This window comes from Homo sapiens, chromosome 1 (assembly GCF_000001405.40).
Source record: "Homo sapiens chromosome 1, GRCh38.p14 Primary Assembly".
NCBI lineage: Eukaryota > Metazoa > Chordata > Mammalia > Primates > Hominidae > Homo > Homo sapiens.
The window spans coordinates 38,860,796-38,882,080 of NC_000001.11; the positions used below are offsets into that span (position 1 = coordinate 38,860,796).

A 21,285-nucleotide genomic window follows, 5' to 3' on the forward strand; every position below is an offset into this window, starting at 1 on the left:
TTAAAGTACAGGAGTGGGGGTGCTCCCAGCCCTCCAAGGAGACTGACTTCTTGATTATGAAGGAAAAATTCGCACATGCGGGCAGGTCTGGGACTTTGGTTTTGTCTGAACCCAGAAGTTAGAGGTAGGATACACCCTTAGAGGTCATCTAGCCCAACCTCTCACCTAAAACGAACCAACTCTATAGTGTCTAATAGACATGCAGAATGCACTTAAATAGTTCGAAGGTAAAAGAGCTCACCATCTCGAAAGGCAGCCAACTCCACTGTGGTAAACCTTTGTTTAAAAATTGTTAAAGCCGGCCGCGCGGTGGCTCACGCTTGTAATCCCAGCACTTTGGGAGGCAGAGGCGGGCGGATCATGAGGTCAGGAGATCGAGACCATCCTGGCTAACATGGTGAAACCCCATCTCTACTTAAAAAAATACAAAAAATTAGCCGGGCGTGGTGGCGGGCGCCTGTAGTCCCAGCTACTCGGGAGGCTGAGGCAGGAGAATGGCTTGAACCCAGGAGGCGGAGCTTGCAGTGAGCCGAGATCGCGCCACCGCACTCCAGCCTTGGCGACAGAGCGAGACTCCGTCTCAAAAAAAAAAAAAAGTCTTAAAGCCAAACCACACTCCCTGAAGCCTATAATAGAATAAAATAGGAATAGTCTTCACCTTTTTCATGACAGCCCTTCAAATACCAGATTGCAGTATTCATTACCCACTAAGTCTTCTCTGTTCCTTGCTGAACATCCTCAGTTTCAACCATTCCTATCGTGCTGTTCAATACAACTGATATACATGATAGACATGTTCTTTATCTGCACTGTCAAACATGTAGCCGCTAGTCCTATGAGGAATAAGCACTTGAATTGTTGCTAGTGTAACTGAGGAATTTTTTTTTTTTTTTTTTTTTTTTTTTTTGAGATGGAGTCTCGCTCTGTCGCCAGGCTGGAGTGCAGTGGCGCGATCTCAGCTCACTGCAACCTCTACCTCCCGGGTTCAAGCGATTCTCCTGCCTCAGCCTCCTGAGTAGCTGGGACTACAGGTGCCCACCACCACACCCGGCTAATTTTTTTATTTTTAGTACAGACGGGGTTCCACCATGTTGGCCAGGATGGTTTCTATCTCTTGACCTCAAGATCCACCCTCCATGGCCTCCCAAAATGCTGAGATTACAGGTGTGAGCCACGGCACCCCACCAGGAACTTAAATTTTTAACTGCCACTTGCAGCTAGTGTGTACCAAATCGGAGAGCCCAGCCTTATATATTCAAATCCTCTATTGGTCACTCTTTATATGCATTCCAGCTTGTCAATATCCATCAAACATCTGACTCCTACAAAGCAATACTAAACAGTACAACTTTCAGAATGACCATTTAACACCTAGACAGTATTTCTATTCCTGCTTTCCAGAATGTAATTTTTTTTAAGCATCCATAGGGTGGGTCACATTGATAATCACTGTAACTAATACTTTGTCAGCAATCCTAGTGCCTAAATGTGTATAACTGCATTTTTTAACCTAAATGTAAGACTTGATACTTCAACTTTTTGGTTTAGGCCCAGCAGTTTGGGTATTCCACGTGGTTAATCATTTTAAAGCTTGTTTCAATATAGTCTTCCAACCAGACTTTCCAATTTGTGTCACTTACAGATTTGGCACTACCACCATCTGGTCTGTATGTAATCCTTTACAGTTTGCAAGGCACTTTTACATCCATTATATTTAATTTGATTCTTACAACCAACTTGTGAGATAGGCAAGATGTGAAGTCGATATTTTATAGACAAAGCAGCTGAAGCATAATAGGAGCTTAACTGGTGGGATCCATTTATCCATTTTCTCTTCCATGGAGCATCTTGTTGTATTCATCCAAATCCTTGACAGAAATGTTGAAGAGGACCTCTAGAGGCTAAGCTTATCCTGAATTCTTAAATAGCACTGACTGTTACAGTTTAAGCAAGTCAGTTTCACCTAAAAGTGTGATTATCCAACCCACATGTTGCCTTTCTGTTCAAAAAGGATGGTACCAAAGACAGTCACAGTCACCTGGCTTACTGACATAAATATTAATACTAATCAAATGAGTAAAAAGCCCATGAGGATTGGCTGCCACAAAAAATTTTCAACCTGTATCTACCAAGAAACTATCATACCAACTAAGGAAGCCAAGTCTCTCTCTCTTTCAAAACCCTCACGGGGCCATGCTTTATTATAATGGTCTGCCACAGGTCCTAACCCACACTGTATTTGATTATATACAGTCTCATAATTAAGTCATTCCTCTTTATCACACCCAGCACTTAGTCCACTGCTGCCCATGTAGGAGGCACTCAAATTGGTAAAAGAGAAATCTATGCAAGGGAATGATCTTCTGGACCCCCTCCAAAAACAAACTTGTGACTAGAAGAGGCACCAGCCATAGCCACATTCCTACTAACAGGGCTGATTTAAATGCCCTTTTTATTGGCTTGGTCATAGTCTCCAACAGGTGCCAAGGCTTTTGCTAGTTAAACCAGTTTTCATTGGATCATTTTGTTTTCTATGTGTGTTTTGACCAAAAACAAAGATAGGTTCTCTAACAACAGGGAGAGAATATATGAAATAGGAATATGTCTATAAAACGACAGTCTACCAGTAAGGAAAATAAGTGATCCATAAAACAAAACATCTGACTGTAGGTCTACCCAAAGAAAGGAAAAAGGACTAACAAACAAGAATATAGTGCTTTACCATTTACAAATCTTTCACATACATTCTCATTTGACCCTCACAACAACCCTGTGAGGTAGGCATCACGGACATTCTACTCATTAAACAGATGAAGACAGTAAATCTCAGAGTAGTTCACTGATAATGCCCAAGGCTCTACAGTTAGTGAGTGATTTGTATTAATATCAGTCTTTGGCCTAAAAATTCAGCACCCCTCTTCCCCTTATACTTGTCCCACCTACTTCACAGGGATAATGAAGATAAAATGAATTCAAGGCTAGAAAAATACTTTGAGGGAGAAAAGCACTATATAATTATACCTACAAACTATGATTTTCCCCAATATATGGCTCATTCCTCTTCTCATCTCAGCTTGTGTGTGAACCCAGAGTTGTATATTGCCTCTGTCCTGTGCTCAGTAAGCAAATAAGGCAGGCAGGGGGTACAGTGTGATCCTGTTTAAAGTTACATAAATTACAATCAGGGTAACTGCTATTATTAGGCAAATTGAAAAACAGCACAGAAAGGCCAGTGTGCAACTAGGACCCACTAAAGCTCAGAGGAAAGCAATGCAAGATTATCAGACAGGCATGATTGCATAGAAGGAAAATGTGGTGTCAGAGTTCAAACTGGCACACACACACACAGTTATCTAAGGCAAAGTGGTGGCAAAGAAGTTATTTGTTCCATGTCACACAAACAAGAGCAGAAGATTCATGGGAACCCGTACAAAAGCATCTTGTGTCACACAGATCTCTCCAGCTGCCTATAGGGAATATACAGAACAGTGTCACCTTCAAAGAATGACTGTACCTGTGTTCATATCCTGAACTGCACCAAGGAATAGCTCCATGCTAAACTGTCTTGGCTAAAATACAACCAGTGCCATCATTCCTAATCAGACTAATAAACAGAATGTCTTTTAAGGTAATGAGTTAGATGGCTGTGTTTAGGTTTTGTTCAGGATTTACTTTGGATTCTCCTGCTTTAAGACCCAAAGAAAGTTATATTGAGTTTTTATTGATGATTCTATGTGTTTTTAACAGAGTGTGATAGGTGAATTAAACATATTAAAAGAGTTCTATAGCATCTGTTCAGAAAAGATTATATACTATACAAACTATTCAAGTCATACAAAACCATTTTTCATTGTCTTTCAAACTGAGAAGAATCCTATTCAGCACGCTTCTCCTCCTGAGGTGGTTCATACTGAGCAAGCTATGGGGCAAAGACAGAGGAATTTAGGTGAATTTTATTCTAAATTGAGTAAAAAATAGTAAAACAAGGTAACTGTTATATTCAACTTAGTTACTGTCAGTAAATTGTATTAATATCAGTTTCTATAACTATCCATTTTAAATCATTCAGTGATTTAAGATTTAATACAATCAAATCTAATGAAAGCCCTTTTTATATAAACCTTTAAAATTGCTTTGAAACTAAAATTTCATTCCAGTTCATGACTGCACTGTTCAAATACTTGATATGCAATAAACTATATCTTCCCAAAGATTCATTTGCTTATAAGGAACTTTCTTCCTCTCCAGCAAAAGTTTACTGAAAATACCCACTGAAAAGTAGATAAAGAGTTAAGTGACATGTCTTAACTTAACCAGCCAATAAACAACTACTAATGTCTTTGAGTTAAAAGGTTCCAAAGAGTTAACTAGCACTACACATTGTGGAATCTTGGATAATTTAAAATAACTGCATTTTCTTTTATGCTAAGTGTGGTTCCTTGCAAGAACACTAGGCTAACATTAGGGTTCTGCCAACTACCTGTTGGAGTTGAGAAGCTTATTAGACTTCACTGTGCTTTCGTTTCCTCACCTATAAAGTGGCTTGTGTACTTGTTTCACTTATCTCACAAAGTTGTTGAGAAGATAAAATATATTATGAGAAATACTTAGAGTAATGTAAAATACATTATGTGATTAAGAATGTGGTAAGACCTGAAAGACTTAAGAGTTGACTAATTTGAAGTTCATGAAAATTCTCACAGGACTTTGAAAAAAGAAAAAACTGGCTGGGTGAGGTGGCTCATGCCTATAATCCCAACACTTCGGGAGGCCAGGCCAGGAGGAACGTTTGAGTCATGAGTTTGAGACCAGCCAGGGCAACATAATGGGACCCCATTTCTACAAAAAGTTTAAAAATTAGCCGAGCATGGTGGCAAATGCCTGCAGTCCCAGCTACTCAGGAGGCAGAGGTGGGGGGATTACTTGAGCCTGGGAAGTCAAGGCTGCAGTGAGACATGACTGCACCACTGCACACAAGCCTGGGTAACAGAGAACCTGTCTCAAAAAAAGAAAGAAAAAACTTTAGCACTAGATAAAATTAAGTCCTAACAAATTTACAGAGGGCCGCTACATATGGCCTTGCAAACTATGAACCATACAAATTCTAAGAAGTGCCATTTACAAAGCAGTCGCCCCATATTGGCCTACTTAAAATCAACTGCTTAAGAACCTCAGAACTGACCATTTACTTATAAAGAACATTAACCAATATTCTCATCCTTTTAGTAATACAGGTTCCTAAGAACCTCTTTTTTTTTTTTTTTTTTTTTGAGACAGAGTTTCATTCTTGTTGCCCAGGCTGGAGTGCAGTGGCACAGTCTCGGCTCACTGCAACTTCCACCTCCCGGGTTCAAGCAATTCTCCTGCCTCAGCCTCCCAAGTAGCTGAGATTACAGGCATGCACCACCAAGCCCGGCTAATTTTGTATTTTCAGTAGAGACGGGGTTTCTCCATGCTGGCCAGGCTGATCTGGAACACCTGACCGCAGGTGATCTGCCCACCTCAGCCTCCCAAAGTGCTGGGATTATAGGCGTGAGCCACCGCACCCAGCCAGAACCTCTTCTTGACCACACTTTGCTTCTTTGCTTGTCCTATTTCCAGTATGTCTTGCGGTTTTCTTTTTTTTTTTTTAACCCCCCTAGATGAAGTCTTGTTCTGTCACCCAGGCTGGAGCACAGTGGCACGATCTTGGCTCACTGGAACTTCCATCTGCCGGGTTCAAGCGATTCTCCTGCCTCAGCCTCCCGAGTAGCTGGGATTATGGGCACATGCCACCATGCCCGGCTAATTTTTGTATTCTTAGTAGAGACAGGGTTTCACCATGTTGACCAGGCTGGTCTCGAACTCTTGACCTCGTGATCTACCCACCTCGGCCTCCCAAAGTGCTGGGATTACAGGCGTAAGCCACCGTGCCAGGCCCGTCTTGTGGTTTTCTTGACAGGGCATAACTTTGGCCTTACATTGTAATTAATTCAAATTGATATTCACCCACCTCCCTCCCCTCCTGTCCATTTCAGTGAGGTTTTCATCATACAATTATTACAGGTAAAATTATTTGAATATGAATTCTTTTTAAAAATTTACCTTTGCTTTCAGTTTTTTATTTTCTTCTACAATAGCTTCATACTTCTCTTTCATTTCGGCCAGTTCTAGGCGAAGCAGCTCTATTTCTGGATTTTCTGGAGTAGCAGCTCCTAAGTGATGCTTTAAAAAACTATTATCAATGTTAAGAACTTACTTCTTAGACATGAATGAAACTAATGAAATAGCACAGAGTAGTATCAATATCCCTGACCAGAGTCACCCACTTTACCACCAATATCTACCCAGAGATCACCATCCAAAAACTCAAGTGAAACTAACTTTCTTGGCCAGGTGCGGTTGCTCACGCCTGTAATCCCAGCACTTTGGGAGGCTGAGGTGGGCACATCACGAGGTCAGGAGTTTGAGACCAACGTGATGAACATAGTGAAACCCCGTCTCTACTAAAAATAAAAAAAATTAGCTGGGTGTGATGGTGGGCACCTGTAATCCCAGCTACTTGGGAGACGTGAGGCAGGAGAATCGCTTGAAGCCAGGAGGCGGAGGTTGCAGTAAGCCAAGATTGCGCCACTGCATTCCCCACCAGGTGACAGTACAAGACTCCGTCTCAAAAAAAAAAAAAAAAAAGTAACTTTCTCAATATTCAGAAGTATTTTAAAGGTTATTATCTATCTAAAAAAATAAGAGTTTCAAAATAAAGCCTTTTTCTGACTTGAAAGGATACTCCAAAGCACTGTTAGGTTTCTCTGGTTCTTCATATAAGGCTACCAACACTGCAAATCAAAAAGCAGAAAAAGCAACAATTGACGTATTAAATTTGAATGGCTGAAATTATGTTCCATTACCCAGTAAATATTAGGTGCCAACTATACGCTGAGCACATTGCAAAGACTATACAATGCTGAACAAGACAGACAAGGTCCCTGTTCTCAACAAATTTACAGTCAAGCATAAAAGATATGCAAGGAACTAGACAGAGGGTATCAAGCAGGAATACTGGATAATGGGTTGCAGTAGCACACTGGAAGAACACCTAAGCAAACCTAGGACATCAGGGAAGGCTTCCTAAAGGAAGGCAAAGACCTGATACCTAGGGGTTGAGTGTTTCAGATAAAATGGGAAGGCCCAGGAGCAAGAAAACAATGTATTGAGGAACTGAAAATTCAAGTATGGCTGGAGATGTAATTTGGCAGGAAAGGAAGCTGGAAAGGTGGTCATGGCCAGATTAGGGAGAGTCATGCAAATTTGGTTGGCACATAATTAAACAGTTTAAAGGAAGGGAGTGACAGGATCCACTCTTAACTGCTATGTGGACCAGCTGGAGTGGGACAAGGATAAAGACAGGAAGAACAGTTAAAAGGCTGATGTGGTAATCCAGTTTAAAAAGACAGCAACCTGCAGTAGAGTGATGGGAGTGAGAGAACAGTGAGAAGAAAGAAATTCGAGAATTTAGGAAAGAATCAACAGGACTATGGTAATTACCGGAAGAAGCTCTGAATTCAAAAATGGTCTTAAAAATTAAGTTTGTTTTGCTAAATAACCACCAACCAAAAACTTTACCAGTAGTCAACATGCTCAAATCAACATTAAAATAAGATATACTTGAGTGGTTTCATATCTAATCACTCATATGAGCACTGCCTTGCTCTTCATCTATGGAACAAATTCCTCCTAGAATTTACTACTTAGATAAAAAACTCTAAATCAGTGGTTGGCCTTTTTGTGCATGGAACCCTTTGAAAAATCTAATAAAAGCAAAAAAAGTAAACACACACAAAAAAAATGTGGCTGGGCGCAGTGGCTCACACCTGTAATCCCAGCACTTTGGGAGGCCAAGGCGGGCAGATCACGAAGTCAGGAGATCAAGACCATCCTGGCTAACACAGTGAAACCCCGTCTCTACTAAAAAATACAAAAAATGAGCCAGGCGTGGTGGCGGGCGGCTGTAGTCCCAGCTACTCAGGAGGCTGAGGCAGGAGAATGGCGTCAACCCAGGAGGCGGAGCTTGCAGTGAGCCGAGATCGTGCCACTGCACTCCAGCCTGGGCGATGGAGCAAGACTCTGTCTCAAAAACAAAAAAACAAAACAAACAAACAAAAAAACAGTGATAGATATCTAGACCCCAAGTTAAGTCCTGTTGTAAACCAACTTACATACTTCCCTTTTGTTCTTTTAGAGTTTTAATAACTTACCAAAATAATATACAGTATGAAAAAATCACTATTTTTTGAGAAATTCATTTGGTTTTTTTTTTTTGTTTTTTTTTTTGAGATAGAGTTTTGCTCTTGTTGCCCAGGCTGGAGTGCAATGGCATAATCTTGGCTCACCACAACCCCCGCCTCCCAGGTTCAAGCGATTCTCCTGCCTCAGCCTCTCTAGTAGCTGGGATAACAGGCATGTGCCACCATGCCCGGCTAATTTTGTATTTTTAGTAGAGACGGGGTTTCTCTGTGTTGGTCAGGCTAGTCTCGAACTCCCAGCCTCAGGTGATCCACCCACCTCAGCCTCCCAAAGTTCTGGGATTACAGGTGTGAGCCACCACACCTGGCCAAATCCTCATTTTATAAGACATGAATATTAATACTCTACTCTCTCCTCCTCTTATTCCCCCACCCCATTTCTTTCAGCTTCTCATTTGTCACTGGTACTTGAAAGGTTGATAGTTGCAGAAGATACTGTAAATACAAAGTTTCCTGTGCTGTTCTATAGATGAAATGCACTTCCTTGTAATCAGACAAGAACTCTATACCCAATCATGCTCCCCTTTTTGCCTTCGCAGCCAGGATTTTTAGAGGTTGATATAGCGCTCAAAATAGCTAAAATGCTTCAGCTTCCAAATGATTTATCATCTTTAGCCATCCTTTCATAGTGTTTTAATGTTATAAACTATTTCAAATCATCTTGGAAATAAGCTGTAAAAATTTAGGCCAAAGTGGCTCATTCCTGAAATTCCAGCACTTTGAGAGGCCAAGACAGGAGGATTGCTTGAGCCCAGGAGTTTGAGATCAACCTGGGCAACACCCCAACTCTACAAAAAAAAAAAAAAATTGGCCAGGCATGATGGCTCACGCCTATAATCCCAGCACTTTGGTAGGCCGAGGCAGGCAGATCATGAGGTCAAGAGATTGAGACCATCCTGGCTAACATGGTGAAACCCCGTCTCTACTAAAAATACAAAAAAAATTAGCCGGGCATGGTGGCAGGCACCTGTAGTCCCAGCTACTTGGGAGGCTGAGGCAGGAGAATGGTGTGAACCCGGGAGGCGGAGCTTGCAGTGAGCAGAGATCGCACCACTGCACTCCAGCCTGGGTGACAGAGCAAGACTCCGTCTCAAAAAAAAAAAAAAAAAAAAATTAAAAATCAGCCGGACATGGTGGTGCGTGCCTGTAGTCTCAGCTACTTGGGTGCCTGAGGTGGGAGAATTGCTTGAACCTGGGAGATTAAGACTGCACTGAGACATGACTGCACCACTGCACTCCAGTCTGGGCGACAGAGACCTTGTCTCGAAAAAATATATATATGTAAATTAAATTTGTGAGGCTGGGCACAGTGGGTCACGCCTGTAACGTCAACACTTGGGGAAGCTAAGGCAGAAGGATCACTTGAGGCCAGGCATTCCTGGGTGACAGAGTGAGACTCTGTCTCAAAAAAAATAAAAAGTAAAAACAAATAGAGGCCGGGCGCGGTGGCTCACGCCTGTAATCCCAGCACTTTGGGAGGCCGAGGCGGGTGGATCATGAGGTCAGGAGATCGAGACCATCCTGGCTAACAAGGTGAAACCCCGTCTCTACTAAAAATACAAAAAATTAGCCGGGCGCGGTGGCGGGCGCCTGTAGTCCCAGCTACTCGGGAGGCTGAGGCAGGAGAATGGCGTGAACCCGGGAAGCGGAGCTTGCAGTGAGCCGAGATTGCGCCACTGCAGTCCGCAGTCCGGCCTGGGCGACAGAGCGAGACTCCGTCTCAAAAAAAAAAAAAAAAAAAAAAAAAAAAACAAATAGAATTGTGTAAAGCACCTATGTTTGGAGCTGAAAATCAAATTTTTAATAAATCACATCAATACTGTGTTGGCTGATGTTATTTAGGAGCCTGGAAATCTAAGGAGATTGAGAGGTTAAATTCTAGTGGAGGGCGGTGGCTCACACCTGTAATCCCAGCACTCTGCGGGGCTGAGGTGAGCGGATCACCTGAGGTAAGGAGTTCAAGACCAGCCTGGCCCATGTGGTGAAACCGCCTCTCTACTAAAAATACAAAAAATTAGCTAAGCATGGTGGCACATGCCTGTAATCCCAGCTACTTGGAAGGCTGAGGCAACACAATCGCTTGAACCCGGAGGTGGAGGTTGCAGTGAGCCGAGATCATGCCGCTGCACTCCAGCCTGGGCAACATCTTCTGTGTAGTCAGTTACCGCCTACAACTGTCATTTTTCTGCCTTTTACCATTCAGTCTTTCACTTGCTCCATCCAACCACTCTGGCCTCCTTAGACTTCCTGAAACTCTGTTTCTTTCAGGTTTCTGGTCAAAAATTACTTCTTAAGAAAGGCCTTCCCCCCATCACCCTATATAAAATGACACACACATCCCACCTGTCACTTTTTTTTTTTTTTTTTTTTGGAGACAGAGTGTCACTGTTGCCCAGTGGCACAATCACAACTCACTGCAGCCTTGACCTCCTGGGCTCAGGTGATTCTCTCACCTCAGCCTCCACAGTAGCTAGATTACAGGCACACACCATGCCCAGCAATTTTTTTTTTTTTTTAAGAGATGGGAGTTTTGCCATGTTGCCCAGGCTGGTCTTGAGCTCCTGGCCTCTAGCAGTCCACCCACCTCAGCCTCCCAAAGTGCTGAGATTACAGGCATGAGCCACGTGCCTGGCCTCACCTGTTACTCTTTATCCCTAACTTTGCTGTATTTTTATCTGTACCACTTACCACTAGCTGACACTACATATTTATTTATGTATTTCTCTCCCTCAACTAGGATATAAGCTTATGAGAGCCGAGACTTTTATCCTCCCCTGCTTATCTCCAGTGTGCAGAACAGACACCTGAGTAAAATTATTAAATGAAAGAAATGAACGTAAGGAGTTTTTAGACGGAATGACATTCAAAGCATCTGTGACACTTTCAGAGACAACATAGCACAGTACTTTCACAGAGTAGTCCCTTAAGACTTGCTGAAGTTTATTTGCAAAGAGGTAAACTATTATCTGAACCCCAAATAGGTAGCAATTCAAAATTACTAGCCTTCTTTCTTCTAAGACCCAGGAGTTATGCTCCTAGAATTTTCCTCTAAACTTTGCTTCTGTCCAAAGGGCAGTTACCAATTTATTTCCCACTTCCCAAACTTCCTAGTTTCATATGACCCAAGTCCTCATCCCTGCGAACAATTCCATTCTACACCCTTGAATATCCCAGTGAGTTGAGTGACACATAGCAGGCATTCAAATTAGTGCTAAGCCAATAAAGTAAACTGTACCCTACCCCTTGAAATCCTCCTGTTTCCAACACTTTACTCATCTACTTAACTTAGATCTTGAAGCCACGAATGAAGAGATACAGCGTTAACAGTAAGCTTTCATTTTAAAAAGTGAAAACAATGTAACCACCTTGATATGCCCTCGAGCTCTTTAAGCTGTAATTCTACTTTATGAAATATACACAAAATAAGAATTGACACAGACAGACTAAGGAATGGGGGCTGAAAAGCCACAGCCAAATTCGCTATGAATCTCCTACTTTGGGGATTAGGCTCACTCAGCTACTTCATAGCCCACTTGGAAATTCGGTCATTTTTCCAGTTGCTCTTTGTTGGAGGGAAACTTTCTTAACAAGATTCTGAGGACTCCATAAAAACCGTAAGGTGGGAGGAATTGGGATCTGAAGGTCCTTGGCAAACATGTCCACTGCGGCTGCTGGAGGCAAAGCAACGGAAGTTGAAGAGACTTTGCAACAGCTGCAAGAGTTTCACTCCCGGTGCGGAGAAGGGTAGCGGAGCTAGGCTACCCCACCCGGGCGGCGTCCAGCAGCCAGGTCCCTGCTGAACCCCGAGGCCCACCTCGCTGGACCCCGGACGGGCCCCATCTGTTTCCCCTCCTTCCCCACGCTACGGCCCGCTGGGGAACGGGGCAGCGCCGGGGAGCACGACGAGGGCACGAGGTACCCTCTCCTAGCCCAGGCTCACCCTTGGTCAGCGTGTCCAGCACCCCCGACTTCTCCAAGTACCTCCGGAACTGCTCACGCTTCGAGTCGGCGGCCTGAAGAGACACCGGGGGTCAGTGGCCAGAGCCCGGGAGCCGAGCAGGAAGAAGGCGCTGGGAGTCCGGCAACCCCGCCTCCGCCTCACTACCTCGGGGCCCTCCCGCCCAAACCTGCGCGCGCGACCCCACTCCCACCCAGAGCCGACCAGCGGCTTGCTACCGCCCGCATGCCCCCAGCCACGCCGCGCCCCCCTCACTTTGTAATGGGCCATAGTGACAGCGGCAGCGGCGTAGCTGGCGCCGGAGACCGCGACTGGCGGGTTGGGAGCAGCACTGCTCATGCGCGGAAGGGGGCGCGCGCCTGCGCACTTGCAAACCACCGGCCGGGATCGCCGAGGTGTGGCCTGTTTTCATGGCGACCAGGACGCTCTGCATCCCCAGTAGCAGGCTGAGCCGAGGGAGGCTGCGTATGCCCGCCCCTCTGGCTGTCGGAGCCGCACCTCTTCCTCTTCCGGCCCCCGTAGCAATTAGGTTTCTTTGCAGGAGGTGAGATTTTGGTACCTCTGTCCTGGCGTCCGGAGGCAGGGCCCGGGAGCATTGAGACTATTGCGAGAGAAAGGACCGCCGCACGGTGGTAGCGAGCGCATCTTTTTCATCTGGGACCTCGGAAACTGTGGTGACCCATAGGTGCTGGGCTTCTTGGCTCTCGTCCTGAGAAAGTGCTCACAGTGCTTTGCAGTAGCCGAGGAGGGTGTTTAGAATCATATATTTTGGCTTCAGCTTTTATCTTTGGAGTCTCCTTGAGTCGTGGCTGACTTGATGTGGGCCTCTGGAGGATGAGCAGTAACGAGCTTGCAGTAGCTTTTGAGCCAGGCACTGTAGAAAACACGGGTATTTTAAATTTTAATCCTTACAACACCCCTGTAGGGTGGGTATTGTTAATTAAGTGGAGTGGTTAGATGTCCAGTGAGTAGAGTCGAGTCCAATCCGGGCAATGAATCACGATGCTATGAACTGGTGAAGGAAAGCCACGGATCTTCTTAAGATTTTATTTACTAGGTAGCAACATGTGATTATACTCAAGACACATCAGGATGCCAGTCTAGAAGGAAACTTACGTGATTGTGTTCCAGGGGCAAACAGAATTAACCCAGTGTCCAAGGTGGAATTGTATAGATCAAGAACCATTTCCTAAGGCTGTGGTCTCTTCAAAGAGAAAACCTGATCAAACCATTTAGCCTCAATTCTGAACATGTGATTTTCCCAAAATCAGTTACATTCGAAAGGATATCATTTAAAAAAAAAAAAATCCTGATTTGACAACTCTATGTCTTTGAATTTAGAAGTGTTGCTTCACAATCTCGAATTAGAGCTGTTTTTCTCTTGCTTAAATGAGTTTGCAGTTGTCTGTCTTAACAGCTGGTCTTTAGAGCTGCCCCTATCTATTTTTTCTGTGCCCCACGACCACTAGGCTACTTCTCTGATAATATATATAATGTCTAAAAGCCAACCGCTGTTTAGATCTGAAGATCTGTGGGAACCCGCCTACCAATGAGATTGTTCGTTAGGGACACTACGTGATTTGGAGGACAAACAGGATTATTACAGGTTCTGACCAACCCTGGCTCAAAGGACAGCCCTCCCAAAGAATCAGCAGTGTTTGGAATGTCAAGTGATTGAGAATCTCCTTGTGAAGGAGGAAGGGTTCTGACTGTGCCCTTTCTGAACTGGCCCTTGAGGTTACCTTTAGGAGGTGACCCCCGGTTTTCATGTTCTGTAGAGGAACCCCATGTAGCTCTAAGCCACCGCGGTTTCCAATCGCAGTTAGCTGGCAAGGAGAAAACTGTTTGGGGTGACTGCCTCATGTTGTTCTCTCCATCTATAGCAACACCTGGAATAGAACGGTGACCTCTAGAGTAGTAGTTCCTTTTGCTGTCTTTGCCTTCAGTTTCTCTTTTTTCCATTAACTGGTTACCATTAAGTTCTTTTCCAAATATTTTATGAGTGTCTTTGTTATTGTTTGAACTGATGTGTTGAAAATGACTACAACTAGTACTAAGTGTGGAAATCTCATTAGAAAGTACAGTTTCCTGTTCATCCAAAATGCATTTCTCATCATTTACACTATGATTGTCAGGATTTGGCTGGAATACAGAAGATGAATTTAAACTAGGGTACACTGCAGTGTGTGTTTGCTTTTCCACTAACAGATTATAATCAGGGGCAGAAGGGAGTCGCTTCAGTGAATTTGCAGATGTGCTCTGGTATTTGGCTACATTTTGTTTTGCCTTGTTTGCATGGAATTCATTATGTTCCTTCTTCAACTTGTATTTTCCCCAAAGCCCTCTTTTAATCTTTTTAAAACCTAGGTGGAAAATTTCAAGAATGTTTAAGAAAAGTGAAATAGTGGCTATAGATTGCATAAATAATAGGAATATTGTCTTTTCTGTTGGTCTTGAGACAAAACAGTCGATTATATTTGGACACGGGTGGCCATGGCACTTAAATAGCGGCTCTAAGTGAAATCCATATAAAAGGTACTGTCCAATCATGAATCCAACTTCAACCACAGAGCGAGTGAAAATGTGTATCACATAAGTGCAAAGCAAGGTTCCTCTGAGTGGAGCTTTATTTAGTTTCCTTTTCTCCAGCTGACAAAGCTCTTGCTCCAATCTCCTCCGATCCCTAGGCATTTCAAACTCTACCTCCTCCAGTTCTACTCTTAACTGAGCTTTCATCCTTTGCCTCTCTTCCTCAAGAACTCTCAGTCGGTACAATGCATGGCCCATGTAGACCAGGGATGGTGAAGACACAAATATCACCTGCAGAACCCAGTATCTAATGAGGGAGATAGGAAAGGCCTGGTCGTAGCATACATTTCTGCAGCCTGGTTGTTCTGTATTGCAGATGAAGCCAGACTGCTCATCATTCCAGACATCTTCAGCTGCTACACCCAGAACAAGCATTCGAAATATGAACAGGATGGTGAGCCAGATCTTTCCAATCATGGTGGAGTGGATGTGAACTTCCTCCAGAGTATCTCCAAGGAGATTCCAGTCCCCCATGTTTATTTAGTCAGCCATCTTAGCTCTGATCCACATCAAATAAGAGGCAGATAAATTCTTCCATTCTGAAGGGAGCACTATTTCTTAAAGCAAACCTATGGTGAAAATATAACAATATGTCACTTCTATATGCTGGTTGCTTTACTTTTTCCCTAGATAGCTGTGGGGTTTTTTCTTTGTTTGTTTGTTTGTTGAGACAGAGTCTCCCTCTGTTGCCCAGGCTGGAGTACAGTGTTGCAACCACAACTCCCTGCAGCCTCAACCTCCCAGACTCAAGCGATCATCTCCCCTCTCAGCCTCCTGAGTAGCTGGGACTGCAGGTGTGTGCAACTACACCCAGATAATTTTTTTTATTTTTTTGTAGAGACAGGGTCTCACTCTATTGCTGCAGCTAGTCTTAAACTCCTAGACTCAAGTGATCCTCTTGCCTTCACCTCCCAAAGTGTGGGAATTACAGGTGTGGGTCACCACACCTGGCCAAAGTGTGAATCTGTTACCAATAATATACTTAAATGTCAGGAATTTAAAATCACTTATATTTAGACATCACAATACAATGAAAAAAACATGATACCTGGAGGAGGAGTGTATATATTCTCTATTAAGAATATAGGCTGGGCGGGGTGGCTCACACCTGTAATCCCAACACTTTGGGAGGCCAAGGTGGGTGGATCATTTGAGGTCAGGAGTTCCAGACCAGCCTGGCCAACATGGTAAAACCCCGCCTCTACTAAAAATACAAAAATTAGCCAGGCGTGGTGGCAGGCGCTTGTAGTCCCAGCTACTCGGGAGGCTGAGGCAAGAGAATCGCTTGAACCTGGAAGGCAGAGGTTGCAGTGAGCTGAGATCAAACCCTTGACCTCAGATGATCTGGCCACCTCGGCCTCCCAAAGTGCTGGGATTACAGGCATGAGCCAATGCGCATGGCCTAAAATTATATTCTTTTTTTTTTTTTTTTTGAGACGGAGTCTCACTCTGTAGCCCAGGCTGGAGTGCAATGGCATGATCTCAGCTCACCGCAACCTCCACCTCCTGGGTTCAAGCGATTCTCCTGCCTCAGCCTCCTGAGTAGCTGTGATTACAGGCATGCACCACCATGCCCGGATAATTTTGTATTTTTAGTAGAGATGATGTTTCTCCATGTTGGCCAGGCTGGTCTCGAACTCCTGACCTCAGGTGATCTGCCCACCTCGGCCTCCCAAAGTGCTGGGATTACAGGCGTGAGCCACCATGCCCAGCCTATTGTTGTTTTTCAACAGAACTTTTGGAAAGGTTTCTAAAACTAGTAACCTGATCTTAACCTTATTTATTAAGATTATTTGATATAAAAGTTATAACAAAGTCAATTTCTTTTTCCCCAACATGCCATTACTGGCTTGAAAAGTCAGTGATTTTTTTTTCTTTCTTTCTTTCTTTTGGGACAGAGTCTTGCTCTGTCGCCAGGCTGGAGTGCAGTGGCGCAATCTCGGCGCATTGCAACCTCCGCCTCCTGGGTTCAAGCGATTCCCCTGCCTCATCCTCCTGAGTAGCTGGGATTACAGGCGCCTGCCAACACCCCCCGGGATAATTTTTTGTATTTTAGTAGACACGGGGTTTCACCATGTTGGCCAGGATGATCTCGATCTCCTGACCTCGTGATCCACCCGCCTCAGCCTCCCAAAGTGCCAGGATTACAGGCATGAGCCACCGTGCCCGGTCAAAAAGTCAGTGATTTTTAAATCTCATTTATACACATAGGAAAACGAATATGCTTCATTTGATAATTCAGTAAGATATGGCATTCAGTGAAACCAGAGGAAACAGATCTGGCTGTCATAGGAATTTAGATTAGTTTTTTTAATCCAAATTGAAATAAATTTGAAATAAATTCTGGTTTCTTCCTGGCAATTGGTGAACATTTTCAGAAATTCATCTCAGTAATATTTATGAATATGTATAAAGTACTTATTATACTTTACTATGAAAAAGTATACTTTTTTTCTTTTTTTTTGGTGGGGGGAGACAGAGTCTCACTCTGTTGCCCAGACTAGAGTGCAGTGGCAGGATCTCAGCCCACTGCAACCTCCACTTCCCAGGTTCAAGTGATTCTCGTGCCTGAGCCTGCCAAGTAGCTGAGACTACAGGCAAGTGCCACCACGCTTGGCTAATTTTTGTATTGTTAGTAGAGACGGGGTTTCACCATGTTGGCCAGGCTGGTCTTGAACTCCTGAACCTTGAGTGATCCACCCGCCTCGGCCTCCCATAGTAAGCCACCGCGCCCAGCCCAAATTTTGTAAATTCTTACGTTAAAATGAACTTCAAGCCCAGCACAGTGGCTCACACCTGTAATCCCAGCACTTTGGGAGGCCGATGCGGATCACCTGAGGTCAGGAGTTCGAGACCAGCCTGGCCAACATGGTGAAACACTGTCTCTACAAAAATACAAAAAATTAGCTGGGTGTGGTGGCAGGCATCTGTAACCCCAGCTACTCAGGAGGCTGAGGCAGGAGAATCACTTGAACCTGGGAGGCAGAGGTTGCGGTGAGCCAAGATCGCGCCATTGCACTCCAGCCTTGGCGACAAGAGCAGAAACTCTGTCTCAGAAAACAAAAAGAACTCCAAAAATTCTCAACTATTTTATGGTACCAGAATCTTTTTTTTTTTTTTTTTTTTGAGACGAAGTTTCCCTCTTGTTGCCCAGGCTGGAGTGCAATGGCACAATCTCGGCTCACCGCAACCTCCACCTCCCAGGTTCAAGTGATTCTCCTGCCCCAGGCTCCAGAGTAGCTGGTATTACAGACATGCGCCACCATGCCCAGCTAATTTTGTATTTTTAGTAGAGATGGGGTTCCTCCATATTGGTCAGGCTAGTTTCGAACTCCCAACCTCAGGTGATCCACCTGCCTCGGCCTCCCAAAGTGCTGGGATTACAGGCGTGAGCCACTGCGCCCGGCCTTATGGTACCAGAATCTCATTATAGATATTACTTGCAATAGATTGTTCACTGGTATGGTGGCAGTATTATGGAAACTTTCACTGTAGCAGTATTTGACCTATTTAAGACATATAGCTGCTCTCTTGAAGGAAGCAGTGGGGCAAGTTATAATTTAGCTGCTTGGATTATTTGCCGGCAGATTGCATATTAAGGTTGGTATCCCAGGTTATCTCAGAGGAAATATACCCCAAAGGAAAGATTTTAAAAGTGAATATTTTCATTATTTTTCATTTAAAATATAAATGTATGTCCTGTCCCCTTTATATAAAGGGAACTGTTACACAATCAAACAAACTACTAAGATACAAGATGTGTTCATCACTAAAATCCTATGCGGTAAGTATGTTGTTTCCCCCATCTTACAGATGAGGAAACGGAAGCACACCTTAATTTACCTGAGGTCACACAGCTGGAGCTGGCATTCAAACCCAATCATTGTGGCTTTAGAGTCAGCTCCTTAAATTTTTTACTAAACTATTATTTTTCCTCTGTAAGCAAACTTCAAATTTGCCGGAAAGAAACATTAAGAGATTATCTGTTTTCTCTTAAGTTTAATCATTTAAATTTAGGAATGTAAAATAGTGATAGCTTTGGCTTTTTAAATAACTAGTTCTAGAGTCTTTAGTTCCTTTCTTCAGCCTTTGTTCTGTTTTTTTTGTTCGTTTGTTTTCTGAGACGGAGTCTCGCCCTGTCGCCCAGGCTGGGGTGCAGTGGCGCGATCTCGGCTCACTGCAAGCTCCGCCTCCCGGGTTCACGCCATTCTCCTGCCTCAGCCTCTCCGGGTAGCTGGGACTACAGGCGCCTGCCACCACGCCCGGCTAATTTTTTTGTTATTTTTAGTAGAGACGGGGTTTCACCGTGATCTCGATCTCCTGACCTCGTGATCCTCCCGCCTCGGCCTCCCAAAGTGCTGGGATTACAAGCGTGAGCCACCGCGCCCGGCTCTGTTAATACGATTTGCAAAAGCATCAACCTTCTAAAATATAGTTGTATTCCTGAAATAGAGAAACTTTCCATTGACTTTATTATGTTAATAATAGCATACTCTGGCCGGGCACGGTGGCTCACGCCTGTAATCCCAATACTTTAGGAGGCCGAGGCCAGCGGATCACTTGAGGTCAGGAGTTTGAGACCAGCCTGGCCAACATGGTTGAAACCCTTGCTCTACTAAAAATACAAAAATTAGTCGGGCGTGGTGGCGGGCGCCTGTAGTCCCAGCTACTCGGGAGGCTGAGGCAGAAGAATCACTTGAACCCAGAGGCAGAGGTTGCAGTGAGCCGAGATCACACCATTGCACTCCAGCCTGGGCGACAGAGCAAGACTCTGTCTCAAAAAAAAATAAATAATAATAATAATAATAATAATAATAATAATAATAATAGCATACTCTGACCCAACAACCCAAAGCACTTTAAAATGTAAGCAAGTTGGCCAGGCGCGGTGGCTCACGCCTGTAATCCCAGCACTTTGGGAGGCACAGGCGGGCGGATTACGAGGTCAGGAGTTCGAGACCAGCCTGAGCAACATGGTTGAACCCCATCTCTACTAAAAATACAAAAATTAGCCGGGCATGGTGGCACATGCCTGTAATCCCAGCTACTCAGGAGACTGAGGCAGGAGAATCGCTTGAACCTGGGAGGTGAAGGTTGCAGTGAGCCGAGATCTGGCCACTGCATTCCAGCCTGGGCAATAGAGTGAGACTCTGTCTCAAAAAATAAAAAAAAAGTAAGCAAGTTAAGTCTCATTTATGGTTCATAAATAATAATAATGTAAGCAAAGATGTAATTCATGTTGTTTATAATAGTCATAAGCTAAAAACATAAAATAATAATACAAGAAAAACTGGTTAAATAATCGACTACATCCACGGTGTGATACTATGCAACCAGTAGAAATGATAAACATACATAAAATGGCATTTGATATTTCATTTCAGTGAAATTGATGTTATAAAATAGAATAATATGGCCCCATTATTATAAGTTTAGTTACATTTACAGATGTATACAAAAAAGTCTAGAAGGATATTCATGAAAATATTAACGGTGATTAGCTCTGGATGTTGGGATTACAAATTATATACTTAATATATTGTAATTACATGTATTTTAATTTTTTACTATAAGCATTTTACTTTTATAATCATAAAAAGAAAGAAAATATTTTTTTCATAAAGGACAACACATAGTATTTCCTGAAAGAAGGAGCAGTAGTATTTAGCTACAAATTAAAGCTTTCATAGCAAATGACATAAAAACTGGTATACATATATACAGTACCATAGAATTCAAAAGAAAAAGATAAAAACATTTCAAACAACTCTTTCTTAATAAGCTAAAACAGAGAGATTAACACAAACCTTTCTTAGTTTAGGTAAATCTGAGAAGCAAACCATGTTTAGAAGTTACAGCATGGCCATCTTCAATTTATTTTCTGAATTTGTCCCTTTGCTGGTATAGAGCAGATTCAGTTCAGTTGAATGTAGTGAGTGAGTCATCCATCAACTAAAATCCATGTCCCTTTCTGCTTATCCTTGCTTTTAAAACAGCACCATCCAATAGAACTTTCTGCAACAATGGAAATATTCTATCTGTGCTAGCCAATAAGGCAGCCAGTAGCCAAATGTAGCTATTGAACACTTGCATTATGGTTTGTGTGTCAGAGCAATTGAATTTTTAATTTTAAATAATTTTAATAAAAATGTAAAGAGCTGCATCTACCTAATGGCTGCTTTTTTGGACAGCACAGATAAAGAATGCTTATAATAGTCCTGATAACACACTGCAATCTAGAAGACTAAAGTCATGAGCCCCAAATTAAGCTGAGTGAATGATTCCTCCATAATTCAGAGATGTCAAATTTAAAATGACAGGAGGTATTTGTGTGCTGTTTGTATGCAACTTTTGCCACTGGGGGAACCTAATAAAATGTCATTGTTTTTTGTGCAATAAACCATGTTTCTAGAACCAAAAAAGTCTTTCTTACTAGATAATAACTTCTTGGTCATC

General features: G+C 43.3%; 2 protein-coding genes and 2 long non-coding RNA genes across 10 annotated transcripts in view, besides 2 other annotated features; 1 reads left to right on the forward strand and 3 right to left on the reverse strand.

The window, feature by feature from the left end:
- Positions 1-15,431, forward strand: part of RRAGC-DT (RRAGC divergent transcript) — a 16,334-nt gene extending 903 nt beyond the window's left edge. Inside the window, exons 1-2 of one of the 2 annotated variants that reach the window (NR_135048.2) lie at positions 12,633-12,784; positions 15,146-15,431. This is a non-coding gene — a long non-coding RNA (RRAGC divergent transcript). Of the gene's footprint in view, positions 1-12,632; positions 12,785-15,145 lie in introns of those variants that run through there. The other variant, NR_186075.1, reaches the window with a different exon arrangement.
- Positions 1,695-12,583, reverse strand: MYCBP (MYC binding protein). 2 transcript variants are annotated; one of them, NM_012333.5, is made up of 5 exons: positions 12,496-12,553; positions 12,223-12,295; positions 6,767-6,815; positions 6,085-6,214; positions 1,698-3,919 (listed from the first exon to the last, which is right to left on the reverse strand). In NM_012333.5, exons 1-5 carry the CDS (start codon positions 12,508-12,510, stop codon positions 3,875-3,877), a joined length of 312 nt encoding a protein of 103 aa, NP_036465.2. In that variant the 5' UTR covers positions 12,511-12,553; the 3' UTR covers positions 1,698-3,874. The 2 variants fall into 2 exon arrangements, 1 of the variants encoding a protein (NP_036465.2); NR_037632.1 differs by lacking the exon at positions 6,767-6,815 and having other exon boundaries at positions 1,695-3,919; positions 6,085-6,204; positions 12,496-12,583.
- Positions 1,695-20,831, reverse strand: GJA9-MYCBP (GJA9-MYCBP readthrough). Of its 5 annotated transcripts, NR_037634.1 has the most exons (7): positions 20,637-20,831; positions 13,983-15,398; positions 12,800-13,114; positions 12,223-12,295; positions 6,767-6,815; positions 6,085-6,214; positions 1,695-3,919 (listed from the first exon to the last, which is right to left on the reverse strand). It is a non-coding gene; the product is annotated as a GJA9-MYCBP readthrough (long non-coding RNA). The 5 variants fall into 5 exon arrangements; NR_037633.1 differs by having other exon boundaries at positions 12,800-15,398; NR_037635.1 differs by lacking the exons at positions 12,800-13,114; positions 13,983-15,398.
- Positions 11,587-12,109: an enhancer, noted in NCBI's record as "H3K4me1 hESC enhancer chr1:39338054-39338576 (GRCh37/hg19 assembly coordinates)". NCBI's record gives its function as "activates a minimal SCP1, AML or CMV promoter by ChIP-STARR-seq in primed H9 embryonic stem cells {active_cell/tissue: H9 hESC(primed)}" and the evidence as "EXISTENCE:reporter gene assay evidence [ECO:0000049][PMID:30033119]".
- Positions 13,274-20,792, reverse strand: GJA9 (gap junction protein alpha 9). Its single transcript, NM_030772.5, has 2 exons — positions 20,637-20,792; positions 13,274-15,398 (listed from the first exon to the last, which is right to left on the reverse strand). The coding sequence occupies exon 2, from the start codon at positions 15,301-15,303 to the stop codon at positions 13,756-13,758; it is 1,548 nt and encodes a 515-aa protein (NP_110399.2). The 5' UTR covers positions 15,304-15,398; positions 20,637-20,792; the 3' UTR covers positions 13,274-13,755.
- Positions 18,832-19,016: a silencer, noted in NCBI's record as "fragment chr1:39345299-39345483 (GRCh37/hg19 assembly coordinates)". NCBI's record gives its function as "represses an EF-1alpha promoter that drives an FKBP-Casp9 reporter gene in an ReSE screen in HepG2 liver carcinoma cells and K562 erythroleukemia cells {active_cell/tissue: HepG2 | K562}" and the evidence as "EXISTENCE:reporter gene assay evidence [ECO:0000049][PMID:32094911]".
- Positions 20,832-21,285: the final 454 nt, after the last annotated feature.

Coding starts and splice junctions, on each gene's coding strand:
- MYCBP (NM_012333.5), bottom strand. Junction 6,816..12,222: donor GCTGGACACGCTGACCAAGG/GTGAGCCTGGGC, acceptor TTTGATTTGCAG/TGTTGGTAGCCTTATATGAA. Junction 6,215..6,766: donor AAACCTAACAGTGCTTTGGA/GTATCCTTTCAA, acceptor CATTGATAATAG/TTTTTTAAAGCATCACTTAG.
- GJA9 (NM_030772.5), bottom strand. CDS start 15,303: ATGGGGGACTGGAATCTCCTTGGAGATACTCTGGAGGAAGTTCACATC.